General features: G+C 37.9%; 1 protein-coding gene and 1 pseudogene across 45 annotated transcripts in view; both read left to right on the top strand.

The window, feature by feature from the left end:
* Positions 1-16,982, top strand: part of TPK1 (thiamin pyrophosphokinase 1) — a 384,497-nt gene that overhangs the window by 182,658 nt on the left and 184,857 nt on the right. For 24 of the 45 annotated variants that reach the window (NR_146934.1, NR_146935.1, NR_146936.2 and 21 more), the window contains one exon: positions 4,901-4,973. The exons of 3 other annotated variants lie outside the window; for them this stretch is intronic. Coding sequence is in view for 28 of the 42 variants with exons in the window: in XM_005249970.2 (XP_005250027.1) it covers positions 4,901-4,973 (73 nt within the window). In the remaining 14 variants the exon portion in view is untranslated. Of the gene's footprint in view, positions 1-4,900; positions 4,974-7,616; positions 7,695-10,052; positions 10,342-16,982 lie in introns of those variants that run through there. 18 more of the 45 variants (XR_001744630.2, XM_011516033.3, XM_011516034.3 and 15 more) reach the window with 3 other exon arrangements.
* On the top strand, positions 5,142-6,791 carry EEF1A1P10 (eukaryotic translation elongation factor 1 alpha 1 pseudogene 10; annotated as a pseudogene).

Genomic DNA, 16,982 nt, shown 5'->3' with positions numbered 1-16,982 from the left:
AGTCAGTTGCTACGTGTAATCAGTCCCCAGAGAGTTCTGAAAATAATCTGCTTGTGTAAACTGTCATTTATATCATAACATAGCTCTTCTACATCTGTGAAGTGTCATCCTCAGTAAGTTCCTCTTCAGAATGCCCAGGCACCATGGCAACAGGCACCTCAGGAAAAGTGAGATGGGCTTTTAATTGCAGCGTCAAAAAGTACATTTCAGCAAGTTTCAAAAACGAGTGCATTATATGACCAAAAGTTATAATTATTTTAGTCATCTCAGCATGAATACCAGGTGTATTTTTGGCATGGGCCTTCTTAGAAGTAAGCATCCTGATTCAATTTGAAAGCATACATGTTACATTGGAGAAAATTATATTAAAAGTTAACAGAAGTTAGGTATCTACTACCTATATAAGTTTGTTTTCCTGTTAATATTTTCCACTAAAATGTAAGTGAATTTGCATGAATGCTTTCTTTCATTATTCACAGTGTAAGATATAGCGAGATCTAATTGTCTTTAGGATGAATTGTCCCTAAGGGGATAGATGCTCAGTTGCCTGTGTGTATCAGCTTTTATTTTTCATTTTTATTTATTGACAAAATCAATATGCTATTTGGAAACTGCCAAATTGGTTCTAGAGATCTGACAGACTAAAATTTGGAGAGCAACATAAAGTCGGTCTTCCCAGGATGTTGCTTGAACCAGCAGAGACCCAGAGTCCTAATTTTAAATGGTTGCTTTATTTGGTGAAATAGATTGGATATTGGCTTTACAGACAAAATGCCCTTGACGTCTTGGATCTCAGTTCTTCAGAAAGGATAATGAGGATATTAGAAGGGTAATTTCTTTTATTCCTTCCAGCCCTAATATTCTGTGATTCATCTGAGTATTAATTTGCATGCAGTTATATGGAGATGGGTGGAAACATTGTAAAGAAACTTTGAAAATGAATGAATTTATACAACAAGAAAAAATAAAGAGAAAAAAACTTAATAGTCTATTTTTGGTCCTAACAGGGTAAGGTATAAATTATTTACCTAAATAGGTATAAAATGAAATTGAAAGTAATAGATACAGTGTGCAGGGAAGTTTCCAGGAAGAAAGCTTATGGGAAGATGTTGAAACCAGATGTGATTTGAACACCTAAGTACTTACATTTACTTTCCAGTTCTACTTTTTTTCTGAGATTAGCTGTAGTCTTTTGCATATAGTTGGTGTTCAGGGAATATTTGTGGAATGAATTGACTAATAAAAAAATTGTTGGGCCTAGCTCATCCGAGCTAAGGAATTTATATGGTACAGATCTTTGTGGTAACTCAAAGAAGAGGTGGCCCAACACAGATCAGTTAGATTAGGTTTGACCTCAGAAATAGTATTTCCAATTGAGTCAAGAACCTTACAAAAATAAATGTGCTAAAGGACAGGGTTTGCATTTTTTTCTCCAAATTTTGTCTCTATTAATTTTATTCTGAACTCACACATCAGATTTTCTGAGAGAGATGTGTCATAACATTAGTCCCCTTTGCCCTAGTTTGTTACCCCTTTGCCCAAGCAGTGAGAGCCAGGTCCATTGTCTTCTGCTGGTAGTTGCACACCCATAGGTGAAGGATAAGGCAACATGTTTTTGTTTTTTATTTTTCTTATTATTAAGTAGAAAATACAGCTGTGTTTCTCCCCTCGTGAAAGGGTCTCCATAGAAATTTTCTGGACGTGAATCCTGAAACCCTTTGGTATATTAATAGAATGTCTCCAGGAGCCAGATAACCCCCCGTGTTTTATATATTATTGTGTCTGGAATTGGTGGGTTCTTGGTCTCACTGACTTCAATAATGAAGCTGCGGACCCTCGCGGTGAGTGTTACAGTTCTTAAAGGTGGCACATCTGGAGTTTGTTCCTTCTGATGTTTGGATGTGTTTGGAGTTTCTTCCTTCTGATGGGTTTGTGGTCTCGCTGGCTTCAGGAGTGAGGCTGCAGACCTTCGTGGTGAGTGTTACAGCTCTTAAGGCGGTGCGTCTGGAGTTGTTCGTTCCTCCCGTCGGGAGTTGCTCATTCCTCCCGGTGGGTTCGTGGTCTTGCTGGCTTCCGAAGTGAAGCTGTAGATCTTCGCGGTGAGTGTTACAGCTCATAAAGGCAGTGCAGACACAAAGAGTGAGCAGCAGCAAGATTTATTGCAAAGAGTGAAAGAACAAAGCTTCCACAGTGTGAAAGGGGACCCTAGCAGGTTGCCACTGCTAACTCAGGCAGCCTGCTTTTATTCCCTTATCTGGCCCCACCCACATCCTGCTGATTGGTCCATTTTACAGAGAGCTGATTGGTCTGTTTTACAGAGAACTGATTGGTCTGTTTTGACAGGGTGCTGATTGGTGCGTTTACAAACCTTGAGCTAGACACAGAGTGCTGATTGGTGTATTTACAATCCCTTAGCTAGACATAAAGATTCTCCACGTCCCCACTAGATTAGCTAGATACAGAGCACTGACTGGTGCATTTACAAACCTTGAGCTAGACACAGGGTGCTGATTGGCATGTTTACAAACCTTGAGCTAGACACAGAGTGCTGATTGGTGTGTTTACAAACCTTGAGCTAGACACAGAGTGCTGATTGGTGTATTTACAATCCCTTAGCTAGACATAAAGGTTCTCCAAGTCCCCACCAGATTAGCTAGATACAGAGTGCTGATTAGTGCATTTACAAACCTTGAGCTAGACACAGAGTGCTGATTGGTGTATTTACAATCCCTTAGCTAGACATAAAGATTCTCCAGGTTCCCACCAGATTAGCTAGATACAGAGTGCTGATTGGTGCATTTACAAACCTTGAGCTAGACACAGAGTGCTGACTGGTGTATTCACAATCCCCCAGCCAGACATAAAGGTGCGCCAAGTCCCCACTAGACTCAGGAGCCCAGCTGGCTTCACCTAGTGGATCCCGCACCGGGGCTGCAAGTGGAGCTGCCTGCCAGTCCTGTGCCATGCGCCCACACTCCTCAGCCCTTGGGCAGTCGATGGGACTGAGCACTGCGGAACAGGGGCGGCGCTCGTTGGGGAGGCTCGGGCCACGCAGGTGCCCATGGCGGGTGGCGGTGGGGGGGCTCAGGCATGCCGGGCTGCAGGTCCTGAGCCCTGCCCTGTGGGGAGGCAGCTGAGGCCTGGCGATAATTCAAGAGCAGCGTTGGCGGGCCGGCACTGCTGGGGGACCTGGCGCACCCTCCGCAGCTGCTGGCCTGGTTGCTAAGCCCCTCACTACCTGAGGCCAGTGGCACCAGCCGGCCACTCCAAATGCGGGGCCCGCTGAGCCCACACCCACCTGGAACTCGCGCTGGCCCGCAAGCACCACGTGCAGCCCCAGTTCCCGCCTGTGCCTCTCCCTCCACACCTCCCCGCAAGCTGAGGGAGCCAGCTCTGGCCTCGGCCAGCCCAGAGAGGGGCTCCCACAGTGCAGCGGCAGGCTGAAGGGCTCCTCAAGTGCAGCCAGAGTGGGCGCCAAGGCCGAGGAGGTGCCGAGAGCGAGCGAGGGCTGCCAGCATGCTGTCACCTCTTGTTATGACATAGAGTTTTCTCCAAGTTCTGGGGCTTCACCTTTTTTGACATGTAATACCCAGAAATATAACACCCCAGTCTTCTTTAGCTAGGGACCTAGTTCATCAGATAACAATTTGGCCCTCTTGAGAAGACCTAAGAAGTTTTAGTATTTTGAATCAAAGCAGTTAACTAGATAAATGTTTGCAGTTTTAATTCTCATGGCATGTGAAGGGTGGAATATTTTTATTACAGGAAGTGAAAGCAACCATTCCCTTCTTTGTATCATATACATTTCTGAGGCTCAGCAGGCTAAGGATTTCTGCATAGTACTGAGAAATCCAGGGATGTTTTATTTCTCTACAATTAGGTGTTTTAAGTGGGAAGAAACTCTACCAGATCATGTAAATGTTTTATGTAAAAATAGCAAATGATGGTTTATGCATAATAGATGGAGTAAGGTATGCTTTCTAAACTGACTTAATATAGCAGGGAAAAAAGTAAAGGCAGTAGTAATATTATTAGAAGCAACCACATTTGTGAATCTCTCTCTCTATTTAATAACCTTGACTCTTGTAGTATTTCAGACTTATCTAAAAGATTCCTGTGTCTAGAAATATGTCAATAGAATATTTGGAAAATGTCTTTGAACTGACTCTTGCTTGGGACAGATTTCAAAGAATCCTCATGATCATTTGTTCTATTCATATCTGTTGAAATTTATGAATTTGTGTGAGGATACAATAATGTAAAACCTTATATATATATACAAGGTAATATGCAAAGATGATGAGTATTTCTATTAGGATTTTTTAAACCAATAATCTTTAATTTTTATCGATTTGTTTAAAAAGAAGTATTCTCTGACATTGTGACTGAGTTGATGAATTGGTTGGATACCTGTTGTTTGCCTCAGTCATTGAAACCAAGAGCATGTGGTATAACATCCTATTCTCTCTAAAAATAGTTTCTGTGTTTTTGGTTTTGTTCTGAGTACATTACTTTTCTCTTTGGTCCTTATAATCACAGTTTTATTTTTTAAATTAGAGATGGAGTCTTGCTCTGTCACCCAGGCTGGAGTTATGCTGTCATGGATTACTATATCCTCGAACTCCTGGGCTCAAGTGATCCTCCCAGTGTAGCCTCCCAAGTAGCTGAGACTACAGGTGTGCACTATCATGCCCGGCTAATTTTTTAATTGTTTTGTAGAGATAGGGTCTTGCCATGTTGCCCAGGCTGGTCTTGAACTCCTGGCCTCCAGCAGTCCTCCTGCTTCAACCTCTCAGTGTTGGGATTATAGTTGTAAGCCACTGCACTTGGCCACAGTTTTAAAGTTTCAAAAATAAATAGAAATAACTAGTTGACTTACTTTACTTACTGTTTCTTTCAGCTTTTTGCCTGAATTCATCAATGGAGACTTTGATTCTATTAGGCCTGAAGTCAGAGAATACTATGCTACTAAGGTAAATTATAAACATTTTTTTGTTCAAGATCTTTCTCATATGGTTGCTTTTTCTATGTTTCCAATTGTCATGGTGTATAGGAAGAGATTGATAAACTCATTGGTTGGTTACTTTTTATAGTTTTTTTATTTTAGCAATTGTAACATACATTCAAAATGGAAACTTACACTTTTTCACAAAGGGTTTGCCACCAGAACACAGGTGTCATGAAAACTACCCCTAAAAGCCAAAATGGGAAAGGAAAAGACTCACGTCAACATTATCGTCATTGGACATGTAGATTCGGGGAAGTCCACCACTACTGGCCATCTGATCTACAAGTGCGTTGGCATTGGCAAAAGAACCATTGAAAAATTTGAGAAGGAGGCTGCTGAGATGGGAAAGGACTCATTCAAGTTGTGCCTGGGTCTTGGATAAACTGAAAGCTGAGCATGAATGTCGTATCACCGTTGATATCTCCTTGTGGAAATTTGAGACCAGCAAGTACTATATGACTATCATTGATGTCGCAGGACACAGAGACTTCATCAAAAACATGATTACAGGGACATCACAGGCTGACTGTACTGTCCTGATTGTTGCTGCTGGTGTTGGTGAATTTGAAGCTGTTATCTCCCAGAATGGGCAGACCCGAGAGCATGCCCTTCTGGCTTACACACTGGGTGTGAAACAACTAATTGTTGGTATTAACAAAATGGATTCCACTGAGCCACCCTACAGCCAGAAGAGATACGAGGAAATCATTAAGGAAGTCAGCACTTACATTAAGAAAATTGGCTACAACCCTGACACAGTAGAATTTGTGCCAATTTCTAGTTGGAATGGTGACAACATGCTGGAGCCAAGTGCTAACATGCCTTGGTTCAAGGGATGGAAAGTCACCGGTAAGGATGGCAATGCCAGTGGAACCACGCTGTTTGAGGTTCTGGATTGCATCCTACCACCAACTCGTCCAACTGACAAGCCCCTTCACCTGCCCCTCCAGGGGGTCTACAAAATTGGTGGTATTGGTGCTGTTTCTGTTGGCCGAGTGGAGACTGGCATTCTCAAACCTGGTACGGTGGTCACCTTTGCTCCAGTCACCGTTAGAACTGAAGTAAAGTCTGTCGAAATGCACCATGAAGCTTTGAGTGAAGTTTTTCCTGGGGACACTGTGGGCTTCAGTGTCAAGAATGTGTCTCTCAAGGATGTTCATCAAGGCAACATTGCTGGTGACAGCAAAAATGACTCACCAATGGAAGCAGCTGGCTTCATTGCTCAGGTGATTATCTAGAACCATCCAGGCCAAATCAGTGCTGCCTATTCCCCTGTACTGGATTGCCACACGGCTCACATTGCAGGCAAGTTTGCTGAGCTGAAGGAAAAGATCGATCGCTGTTCTGGTAAAAGGCTAGGAGATGGCCCTAAATTCTTGAAGTCGAGTGATGCTAACATCGTTGATATGGTTCCTGGCAAGCCCATGTGTGTTGAGAGCTTCTCAGAATATCTACCTCTGGGTCGCTTTGCTGTTCGTGCTATGAGACAGACAGTTGCCATGAGTGTCATCAAAGCAGTGGACAAGAAGGCTGCTGGAGCTGGCATGGTCACCAAGTCTCCCCAGAAAGCTCAGAAAGCTAAATGAATATTATCCCTAATACCTGCCACCCCACTCTTGATCAGTGATGGAAGAACGGTCTCAGAACTGTTTGTTTCAATTGGCCATTTACGTTTAGTAGTAAAAGACTGGTTAATGATAACAATGCATTGTAAAATTTTCAGAAGGAAAGGAGAATGTTTTGTGGACCACCTTGATTTTCTTTTTTGCCTGTGGCAGTTTTAAGTTACTAGTTTTTAAAATCAGTACTTTTTAATGGAAACAACTTGACCAAAAATTTGTCACAGAATTTTGAGACCCATTAAAAAAGTTTAATGAGGAAAAAAAAATGGAAACTTACAAAATGACAAGTTGGAACACAATCTTGGGGAAATTTTATCACCATTATGTAAAAATTAATCCTTTAAACATATATATTTCAAAAGAGCTTATAATTTATATATGCTCATTTAATAATACATAATTGTTGCCTATATCCTCATTAATTATTATATATTTCTCGTGGATCATTTTAACTTCATTTAATGAATGTACCTTATTTCACTTAACCAATTCCCAATTAATGTACATTTCGGGTGTGCATTTTTTTGCTTTGTAAACTCTGCTAAAATCATCTTTGTAAATGAATTTTTGTAAAAATGCATAATTGTGTATTCATAAGAATTTAGGACTAACGTTAGAAAATTTTCTTTAACATTTAGTTTTCTTGAAATTATTATTACTACCTGAGGTCAGGAGTTAAAGACCAGCCCGGCCAACATGGTGAAACCCTGTCTCTACTAAAAATACAAAAAATTAGCCGGGTGTTGTGGTGGGCGCCTGTAATCCCAGCTACTCGGGAGGCTGAGGCAAGAGAATTGCTTGAACCTGGGAGGCGGAGGTTGCAGTGAGCCAAGGTTGCGCCACTGCACTCCAGCCTGGGCAACAAGAGTGAAACTCCTTCTCAAAAAAAAAAAAAAGAAAGAAAAAAAAAGAGATTATTATTACTGTTTTGAATAAAACTATTTCCTACAACTTGAGATTGATAATAACCTACATCTTTTGAAAAGGTGTTAATTTTCTCAATATTGGGCACATCTTTCAAAGAAGAGAAGGAACCTTTCTCAGGAAGGAGGGAAGAGAAAAAGGTAGGAAAATGAAAAGAAAGAAGAAAAAGAAACATGATTCTAGGTGGAAACACAAAGGTGTTGTGCTTATAAGGTATAGCCTGTATGATATGGAAATTCTGGGGCTGGCAGTGAACGCAGGTCTCTGCACATCCCATCTGCCCACCAGCTGATCAGACTTTCCCTCAGCAAATGAAGACTGTTCCCAAGTCAGTGTTTGATATTCATGCTCAATTACTTTAACATTGGCATGTTCCTGTTCATTCCCCACAGTCTCACTTCTCATTAACTCCATACCTCAACCTCGTTGGGATGGAAAAGCCACAGCCTTGCTTACAATGCAGAGTTTTACAAATGCATAGATATTAATCATATTTTCAGGAGCAGAAGAAACAGCGAGAGAGGCAGGGACAAGCAGACTCAAAAACAAGTTGAAGATCTGGTCAGGTGTGACTCCTCTCCCCCTTCTTTAATGCTGCTGGCTTGCCAAAATCAGAAGTGCCAGCCTGATCACATCTATCCAAGATAAGAAAATAGGGGAAGCCAGCCTTTTTATACCTATAGGCAGTAAAATGAGGGTCAAGGATAGAGGAAAAATTTGAGTTAATGCCTCTTGATGAATTTCTCTTATATTTCCTTCTTCACTTTATTTTAACCTTAAAAACTAAATTACATTTGTTGAGGTTTAGTTTTTAAAGTAAGATTTAGCTGAATCTTCTAATTCTTGAACTACATCGTTCTAGGTTGATACAGTATAATCCACTTTCTTCATGTATCAACGAGTATCAAACTCACTGCTTTGAACTTTTAGGCTAAGTTCCTAGAGGGCACAGATGATGTCTTTTATATAGTTAATGTGCCCTGTAGAGCACATGGTGAGTGTTTGGCTATAGTTTTAATAACCATGACAATTACAACAAGTTAATGCAACATTACACACAATTCATATAAGCCATTATCTCCAAATTAAACAGCCTTTACACTGCTCTTTCACAATTGAAAGGCGGTTATCTTCATTTTCAAATACACCCCCTCCCGACCTGGTCTGAGTTTGCAATGAAGGTGAAACTGGGGATCTAGTAAAGTGAAGAAATTTAAAATACCAAAACTTTGTTAAAATCAAAAAGTGGATTGTTGATACAAAGTGTTGAGCCTGGCAACTGGTGTACAGTCCTTAGTTTATAAAGTCCTCATTTTCAGGTAGCTGTAACATCTTGGTGCTTTCTCTTTTGCCTATTTGTCTTAGTTCGTCTCTGCCTGGTTCACTCCTATTAACTCAGAATGAGGAATATCTCTTACTGATTTTCCTCTTGATATTTTATTTTTCATTTTTCTGGGTCAGTCAGTGCTTCTTTGATTCAAAGCTAAAAATCACCTACTTCAGTGTATCTGTTATGCCTACCACCATGTTAATTTTCTGAGAACTTTAGAAGAAACTGTACTATCTTATCAAACTCCTGATATTCTTTCACTATTGTATTCTGTTGGGTCTTCAATGGATTTAGGAAAGGGAGTTTTAAAATTGTTTCCTTAATATTTAGGGGGTTAAGGAACTAATTGCAGGATCTAGCTAATGCCTTAAAAATTACAGAATATCAAGGGATTGCTATAAATGTAGGTTTATAGGATATGAGTTAAAATATATAAGTATAATAAAAAATATGAAATACAGTCAACCCTTGGTATCCAAGGATTCATCCAACAGTGTATGGGGAACCTTGGGACATGCAGGGCCTACTAAGGGACTTAAGCATCCTCAGACTTTGATGTTCTCTAGGGTCCTGGAGCCAATCCCCTGTAGATATGAAGGGCCTACTGTAATTTAAAATAGAAGAAATTAAACAATATTCTTTATCCCAATTTTTTGATGAGGGAACTGAGGCCCAGAAAGCTAAGCGACTTCAACAAAATGGCAGAACTAGTGAGAGACAGCTTTAGGATCAATGTCCATATTTTCTATAAAAAGAATGTTGTTAGAACTGGGACTGGGTCACTGCTACTGCTTCTCAACAGGTAAAGCCTTTGGCCTATGGGGTAAGACAGTTGTTCCTTGCGCTGGATATGTAGCATCCCTGGGAATGAATGCTACCATCACTGTCAGTGTGACATAACGTCAACGACATAATCAAATACTTTACATTGTGTTTCTGGTATGTCCCTCTAAACCTTTGATTTTGAGGTAGCAAGGGTAAAGGTGCAATAGTTGGACCAGACCAGGAAAGAGCAAAACCTTATAAACTGATAAATTGTTAAATTACCTATTAACAACAGCTACTTACAAGATATTGGATTGAGCCAAGATAGAACACTGAAGAATCAGAGTGATTTGGTAATATGAAATTAGCAAGGGTATAGGCAAATTTTTAGTATGTCTTTCCTTGTGTTACCAATGAGTATTTTGCCATTCCAGAAGGTGTTGCTATCAACACAAGGCCATGTTCTAGATGGTATGATGAAAACAACCCTAGCATAAGTCAGGAATAGGACTGTAGGTCCAAGTTCTGATTTTATCTTCTCTGTTAATCCTTCAAAGTCTTAGAAGAACATAGCATCAAGAATATTGCAACAAGGTGCCCAAAGACTCATTGTAACTGTGTTTATGAAGACAAGCTTGGTTAAGGGAAACATTGAACCGCTGTATATATGGTGAATGAGGCTAGCAGAAAGGGTGAGTCGATGCTGAACCACAGATTTTCTATTACAGAGATAATAAGATAATTCCAGGTCCCCTGATAATTCTAGCACTATAAACTGGAGGAATGGAGAAAGAAACATAGGCAGATTTTTGTCTCCTGTCTTTCATCGTATCTTTTTCCCTCTTGGGAAAGATAAGGGTTTTTTTTAAAGCAAATTGCATGAATTATTGAAGAATATATCTTATAAAACCAATATTTTTTATAGTATTTTCCCATTGTCATTGAATACTTGCATGGCCATACCCAAATTTTTGAAGAGTGCTCTCGATGGGCAGGGGTAGTGTATCTAATCTTTAAAAACCAATGCTCCCTTTTATAAATATAAAATGCTATAAATGTTAGTTGCAGTAGCAGAAAATGTCTCATCATTTTACATTTCATCATAATGGCTATTACCTGTATAAATGTGTTTCAGTTACATTTTAGGGAATTGGGGATTTGGGTTTAAATATAACTTTCTCAGTTAAAATAATTGGAAATTGTTACCTGTTTGGCATTTGAATAGAATGTCTGATTTTTCATAAATGGACTACTGATGATAAGCAGAAAATGCCTATATTTTAATTCCAACTTACAGATGGGGACACTGATTCTCAAATAGTGGGGAGGGCGGGTTATTGGGAGAAGGGTACATTCAAGTGTGGATATCAAATAACTAATACTTAATCTTGGCTGTTAGCAGTGTGCATTTTAGATTTCAGGCTTTTATAAGTAGTAAAGTGATTGTTTTCTTGAATTAAGTGCAAATTACATTTGTGTTGTTAATTTACATATATGAAAGTCTTACCACCACACGTGAAACTAAATCATGGTGTTATATTCCTGACTTTCTCATGTGCTTATAGTAATGATCTAATAATGGCATACATGTAGAGTTCTCTGGAAATACTAAAGCACTATTTAATATAAGCTGGTAGTGTTTTATTTTACTTCCTAAAATTGTTTGCTTAAGACCTTTTTAATATTTTATTTTTTTCTCAGTAACATTGCTTTTTAAAAATATTTTCAAACACTTCCTCTTTGTAAGTGCATAATTTATGAATGTAGATGTAATTCATAATCAGAATTGCTTAGGATATCCTTTTGAATTTGATAAAGCCTCAGGTTTGATTCTATTTACATTTCACAGAATCTCCAGTTAAAAACATCTGCATTGATCCACCTAATCTCATGAATCTTATTATTTTCTACTCTTACCTACGTCTCTTTTTCAGTTCTTCTCAGCCACATGCCAACAACTTTTAGATGAAAAATTAATTAGAGAAAATGACAAACTGGACTGTTAGAAATTGTGAACAGTTAGTAAGTTTGACTATTATACCAAACAGAGGAAACTATACAACATATATAAAGCTCAACTCCATTTTTTGATATATTTCTTTAAAAAATGTAAACAAAATGAAACAAAGCCTGGAGTGTAATAAATTTTTAGGCTTAAGCATGAAGTCTAATTAACATATGCTAAGATATGAAGGCTTTGCTAAGGGAATTATAGACAGGCAGTTTCCCTTGACAACTGAGTGACAGGTTCTTCACTTTATATTCCTTAGACTGGCTCTCTAACCCTTATTAGCATCTCACCAAGGGAATGATGAGACTGCCAGGGGAACATTAGGTGAAACTATCTCTTGACTATACCTTAATTCTTATGCTTGCCTCAATCATAGTCCTTTCAAATTGACTTTATTGTCATCGATGTTTTTTGAATCTTGTTTTGTTTGAATTTGTTTAACATACTGAAGGCTTTTAGAAAGGGCGAGACTTTGCCCTTTACATTGAAGAGCTCCCAGTGAGACACACAGGACCTCCAGGGGCACCTGCCTGCCTCTCCTCATTCATCTGATGTTACACTCTGTGTTCTCCAGGGCCTCTGTGACTCTCTCTTTCCTCCTTCGTCTGACTCATGGGATTCTTCCTTCGCCTAAACCAACCAACTATGACAATCTAAAAAGTAATAACAACCAAATATTTTTAGTGCTTAAAATATGCCAGATATTTTTATATGCACTTTCATTTATGAATTCATCCCTTCACAGTTCCCCAGCTGGAGGTGGTGGTTAGTCCCTTGTTTATACTTTCTTGCTGAGTTTGAGATAAACAATTCTATCATCATTTTATTCCTTTTCCCTGTTAACATGTGAACTTCTGGAAGTTGAAGTCTGCGGTCATTCATCCTGGTATCCCCAGTCATTAGTAGGTTCAGATTGAAGTTTATATGAAGCAGGTATCTGATCCCTCTTTTAGAACTGAAACAGAAAAGCACTGGTCCTGCTTTGCTTCATATAAAAAAGATTTCTGTGATCAAATGATTTTGTGAAATTTGCCACATTCTGTATGCCCCTTTTGGAAACCCACTGTGCATGTATCATTTTAAGTAAGTCTGCCAAAAATCTAATTTTACCTTAATATTTCTCAAATGTATTTCACCCCGGAACATTTACTCTTTACCCTACTAAAAATACAAAAAATTGGCCAGGCGTGGTGTCACACACCTGTGATCCCAGCTAATCAGGAGGCTGAGGCATGAGAATCGCTTGGACCCTGGAGACAGAGGTTGCAGTGAGCCGAGATTGTGTCACTGTACTCCAGGCTGGGAGACAGAGTAAGACTCTTTCTCAAAGAAAGAAAGTTTTCTATCAGTTTAGAAACTATTTACCATTCAAGTTTCCTGATGTCAGCCAAAAGCCAGTCTTGCAAGCAGGCCATTTTAAAGACAGCAGTCTCAAGCCTGCTATGCTAAGTTTTCCCTGTGCCCTCTTTTACCCAGAAGTCTGGCTCTGGTTTTAGGAAGAAAGCCATCATTTAAAACCCTGTGCTGTTCTAAAAAGACGTTCGACTTCCATTAACAGAAGGGATGACTTTCTTGTTTGAAACACTATAGCTTTCGTTCAATGCCTTGTTGAAAGAAAAGGTTATTTTACAACACATAGGACAATGAAGATTATGCTAGATTAGAATGTCTCTTTAAGTTTGGGAAAGAATGGAGAATTGCTACAAGGTTAAATTGCATTTCTTCTTTTCCTTTATACACCATCTAGATACCAGAAAGAAAATACTAGATTATATTAGGCAATATACTTAGAGTTTTTATACTGTTACTTAGGTTTTTAAGAGTTGAATCCTGTGACATTCTTGCTGAAGAAATCATTCCTTGAAGGCTGTTATTTGATGATTTAAAAAACAACCTTTTTAGCTTGAAAAGTATAAATGTTTCTAGAAGCCTGGTAAATAAAAGGAACAATCTGCCACAGTACACTTTATACAATGAAGAAGAAAGTGGGAATTGGTTATTTTGTGATTATATCTCTGCAGGGAAAAAGACGATATTCATACCTGTATCCACAAACAGAGATCTTTTAGATTTCAGTTTACTTTATGGAACTATTCCCCTTCTTAGCAAATCTGAGAACAAGTTTGAGCTAATTTTAGATCTGTATCTTTGGTTATTTGGAGTATCTGTCATTTTGCTCTATGCCTGCTGTGCCCTTAATCTGGCAGGCAGTTTTTAATTACAGAGTTCCAGTCAATTCCATTTAATGAATGATTATGGACTCTTATTGTTAAAGCTTGAATATATTCAATTCTTCCAAGACTCTTGAAAATATCCCCCCAAAATATTTTTAAGTGTATATCTTGCATACTGATGAGAAGAAAGGCAATGTCAGCAATGAATAGGGGAAAATAAAGAAGCTAACATGTTAAAACCCAGTAAAATTTTATCATTGCTATTTGCTAAAGAAAATCCATATCAATATGCCAATATGAAGGTATAGGAAATTATACTTCATGTTTTCAGAGCCAACTTTGAAGATGGTCTTTGATTTCTTCTTACCTTGTTTACTTTACTTTATTGATAGACAACTATTTTGCCCTCTGAGCATGTCCATTTCTTTTCATACTGTCCATTAGCCACTCAGTCCTCAACTGAAAGAACCACTTCCTATCCCTGTTGCACACTCCAAAATTATCTAAACTTTCTCTTTCCTTCTCCTCCAATGGAAATCATCTTTCCCATAATGAAACAGATTTCTGCTTGCTATTAAGGAGCAAGTAAATCAATTCAATTAATTCACAGCAAGAAATCCATGATGAATTGTCTCTCCTAAAATTACTTATATTTTAAAAGGATGAACTGTTCATCCTTATATACTACTAATAGGAATACATATTTTTACAAATTTCCTAGAAAGCACTCTGGCATCAAATATCAAGGAACCTGAAAATGCTCTCATAATTTTCCCAGTAGTTTTATTTCCAGAATTCATTTCTAAGAAAATAACCGGAACCAAACATTTATACACAGAGATGTTGATTGTAATGGTATGTTTAAAAGAAAAAGAAAAAGTCAACTTATGTCATAAATATAATAAAGATAATGATAATGTAATGAGTTGAAGAAGGAGGAAAAAGGGAGAGAGGGATAGATAAGCATTCATTGCCCATTTTCAGGAGGCTGCGAAAACCATGAAAATTTCTAAGTCTTCGGATGTAGCATGGTCATGTGGGGTCATCATGTCTGCCTAACAGCTAGTGAATGTTCAGGTATTTTAAAACTGGAGAATAATAACTAAATAAATGTTCCTATAAATTGTAAAGGCATTTTTCTGCTTAGTTGTGCCCAAATAACAGAGGTTTAATTAAGCAGGGTACTAAGCAAAGTACAAAGCAAGACAGGTTCAGATCCCACACAGTGTTCCTATCAATTGTGTGACCTTGGACAAGTTATTTAATCTCTGGGAACTACAGTCTGCATATTTTAAAATGTGATAATTACACTTGCCTTATAAGGTTATTATGGGGATTCAGAAATGTAATTCATGTAAAGTGATTCATATCTCATATACTAAATGTACTCAAATGTTCTTATTAATGTTACTCATTTAGTGAGGGAGACAGTTGTCAATAGATCACATCCTTTAAGGTTGGATACTTTAAAGGTTATCTTATTTATCAGAGTATTAGGCTATATTTTGTTGGAGAATTTTAGTTTATTGAAAAGAATCTTAGAGTTTATTAGCCATATATACATTGTATTTAATTACACTGTGTAAGGGTCTATATGCAAGTCACTGGAAATAAATTTTCAAAATTGATGTGCATGATACCTAGGAGGAAGTAGCACTTATAAGTTCGTAACCTTATAAACTCAGTCCATAAAGTTACAGTAGATGTCTCAGAGCCCCATAACATCTTGCCAGGATAATTTGCACAAGTGTTTTCTGTCCTGGATAAATGGATGGGTACTAAATGATGACTTGACCTAAAATGAATAAGCTAATAGGAAACTTGGGCATGTTTTCACCAGACTTACCTCCTTGCCTCTTGTTTTATGAAGCCAAGTCTCTCCGGATATAGTCCATGAAATAACAATTATTATGTTATTACAATTTTTTTCAAAGGATCTGTTTTCTTTCCCATTAAAGAATTTTAGAGGAGTCAGCATAGTATAACCTGATAGGTTTTATGTATGTAAAATGTATAAACTCATTAACCTATATTAGTTAAATTATTGGCAGACAGTAAATTAAGTAATTGAGAATGACAGTCTAATGGCTTTTGCATTGGTGTTTTGAAATTAGGTTGATTATTGACACTCATTGCCTTGTAATAATTTCTTTCAGTTGTCAGTAAATTAAAAATAGTTTTGCAAATATTGACACAAAGTTCTTTGGAGAATATTAATATTTTGCTCACTGTAGTAAACTTTGATGTGAGGTGGTCTGCCTATAACATCTGCTGTTTCTAAAGATTCTTTCCAGGTTCTGAGGTGAGCATCTGATATGTATTCATCACTATGCATCATCTCATTTAATCTTAACAGCAATTCTGGTTTTTATATTAGTTCTATTACAGATGGAGCTATGAAGTTCAGAGGGATTTTTTTTCAATCTAAGCCTTTTTCCTTGTATTAAATTTCTTACAATATACAGCATTTAGTTGTATATGGACAATATCTAATTGTTGGCCTAGAATAAGTGTTGGTTGGTAAACTAGTAATACAACTTGCAGGCCAAATATGGCTTGATAGCTGTTTTTGTAGTTTTGGCAAGCTAAGAATGGTTTTTACATTCTTAAAAGTTGAAAAAAATCAAATGAAAATTTTATAACATGAAAATTGTAAGCAAGTTAAATTTCAGTTTTATTAGAACACAGCCATTTCCATTCATTTATTTATTAGCTCTAGAGTCTTTCATGCTACACAGGTAGAGTTGACTAGTTTGGACACAGGCCCTATGGCCTGCAGAGTTGAAAAAATTACTATCTGGCCCTTTATAGGAAAAGTTTGCTGATCCCTTGCCTAGAGGGATAACTTATCTCATCTGCTATGCCTTTATAAATGACTTTATTTGTTATTGAGTGCTTACCACTTGCTACATACCGTGTTGGGCTCTTGTCCTGGGAATATGGTCGTAAACAAAGGAATACAGTGGGTAGCTTCAAGGAGCTTACAGCTTAAAGCTTATGTTTCAATTAATATTTTAATAGTCATAGGGTAGATTGATAATTTTATCATATTCTATATGATAAAATTATTTGGTTATTCTAATAAAATATGTAATACTCATAAGGTAGACTTTCATACTCATATAGACCTAATAAAATATTAGGTTAA

Source organism: Homo sapiens, chromosome 7, assembly GCF_000001405.40.
Source record: "Homo sapiens chromosome 7, GRCh38.p14 Primary Assembly".
Taxonomy (NCBI): Eukaryota; Metazoa; Chordata; class Mammalia; order Primates; family Hominidae; genus Homo; species Homo sapiens.
Note: the sequence above shows the minus strand (reverse complement) of the source record. Positions and strands in the feature narration are given on the sequence as shown.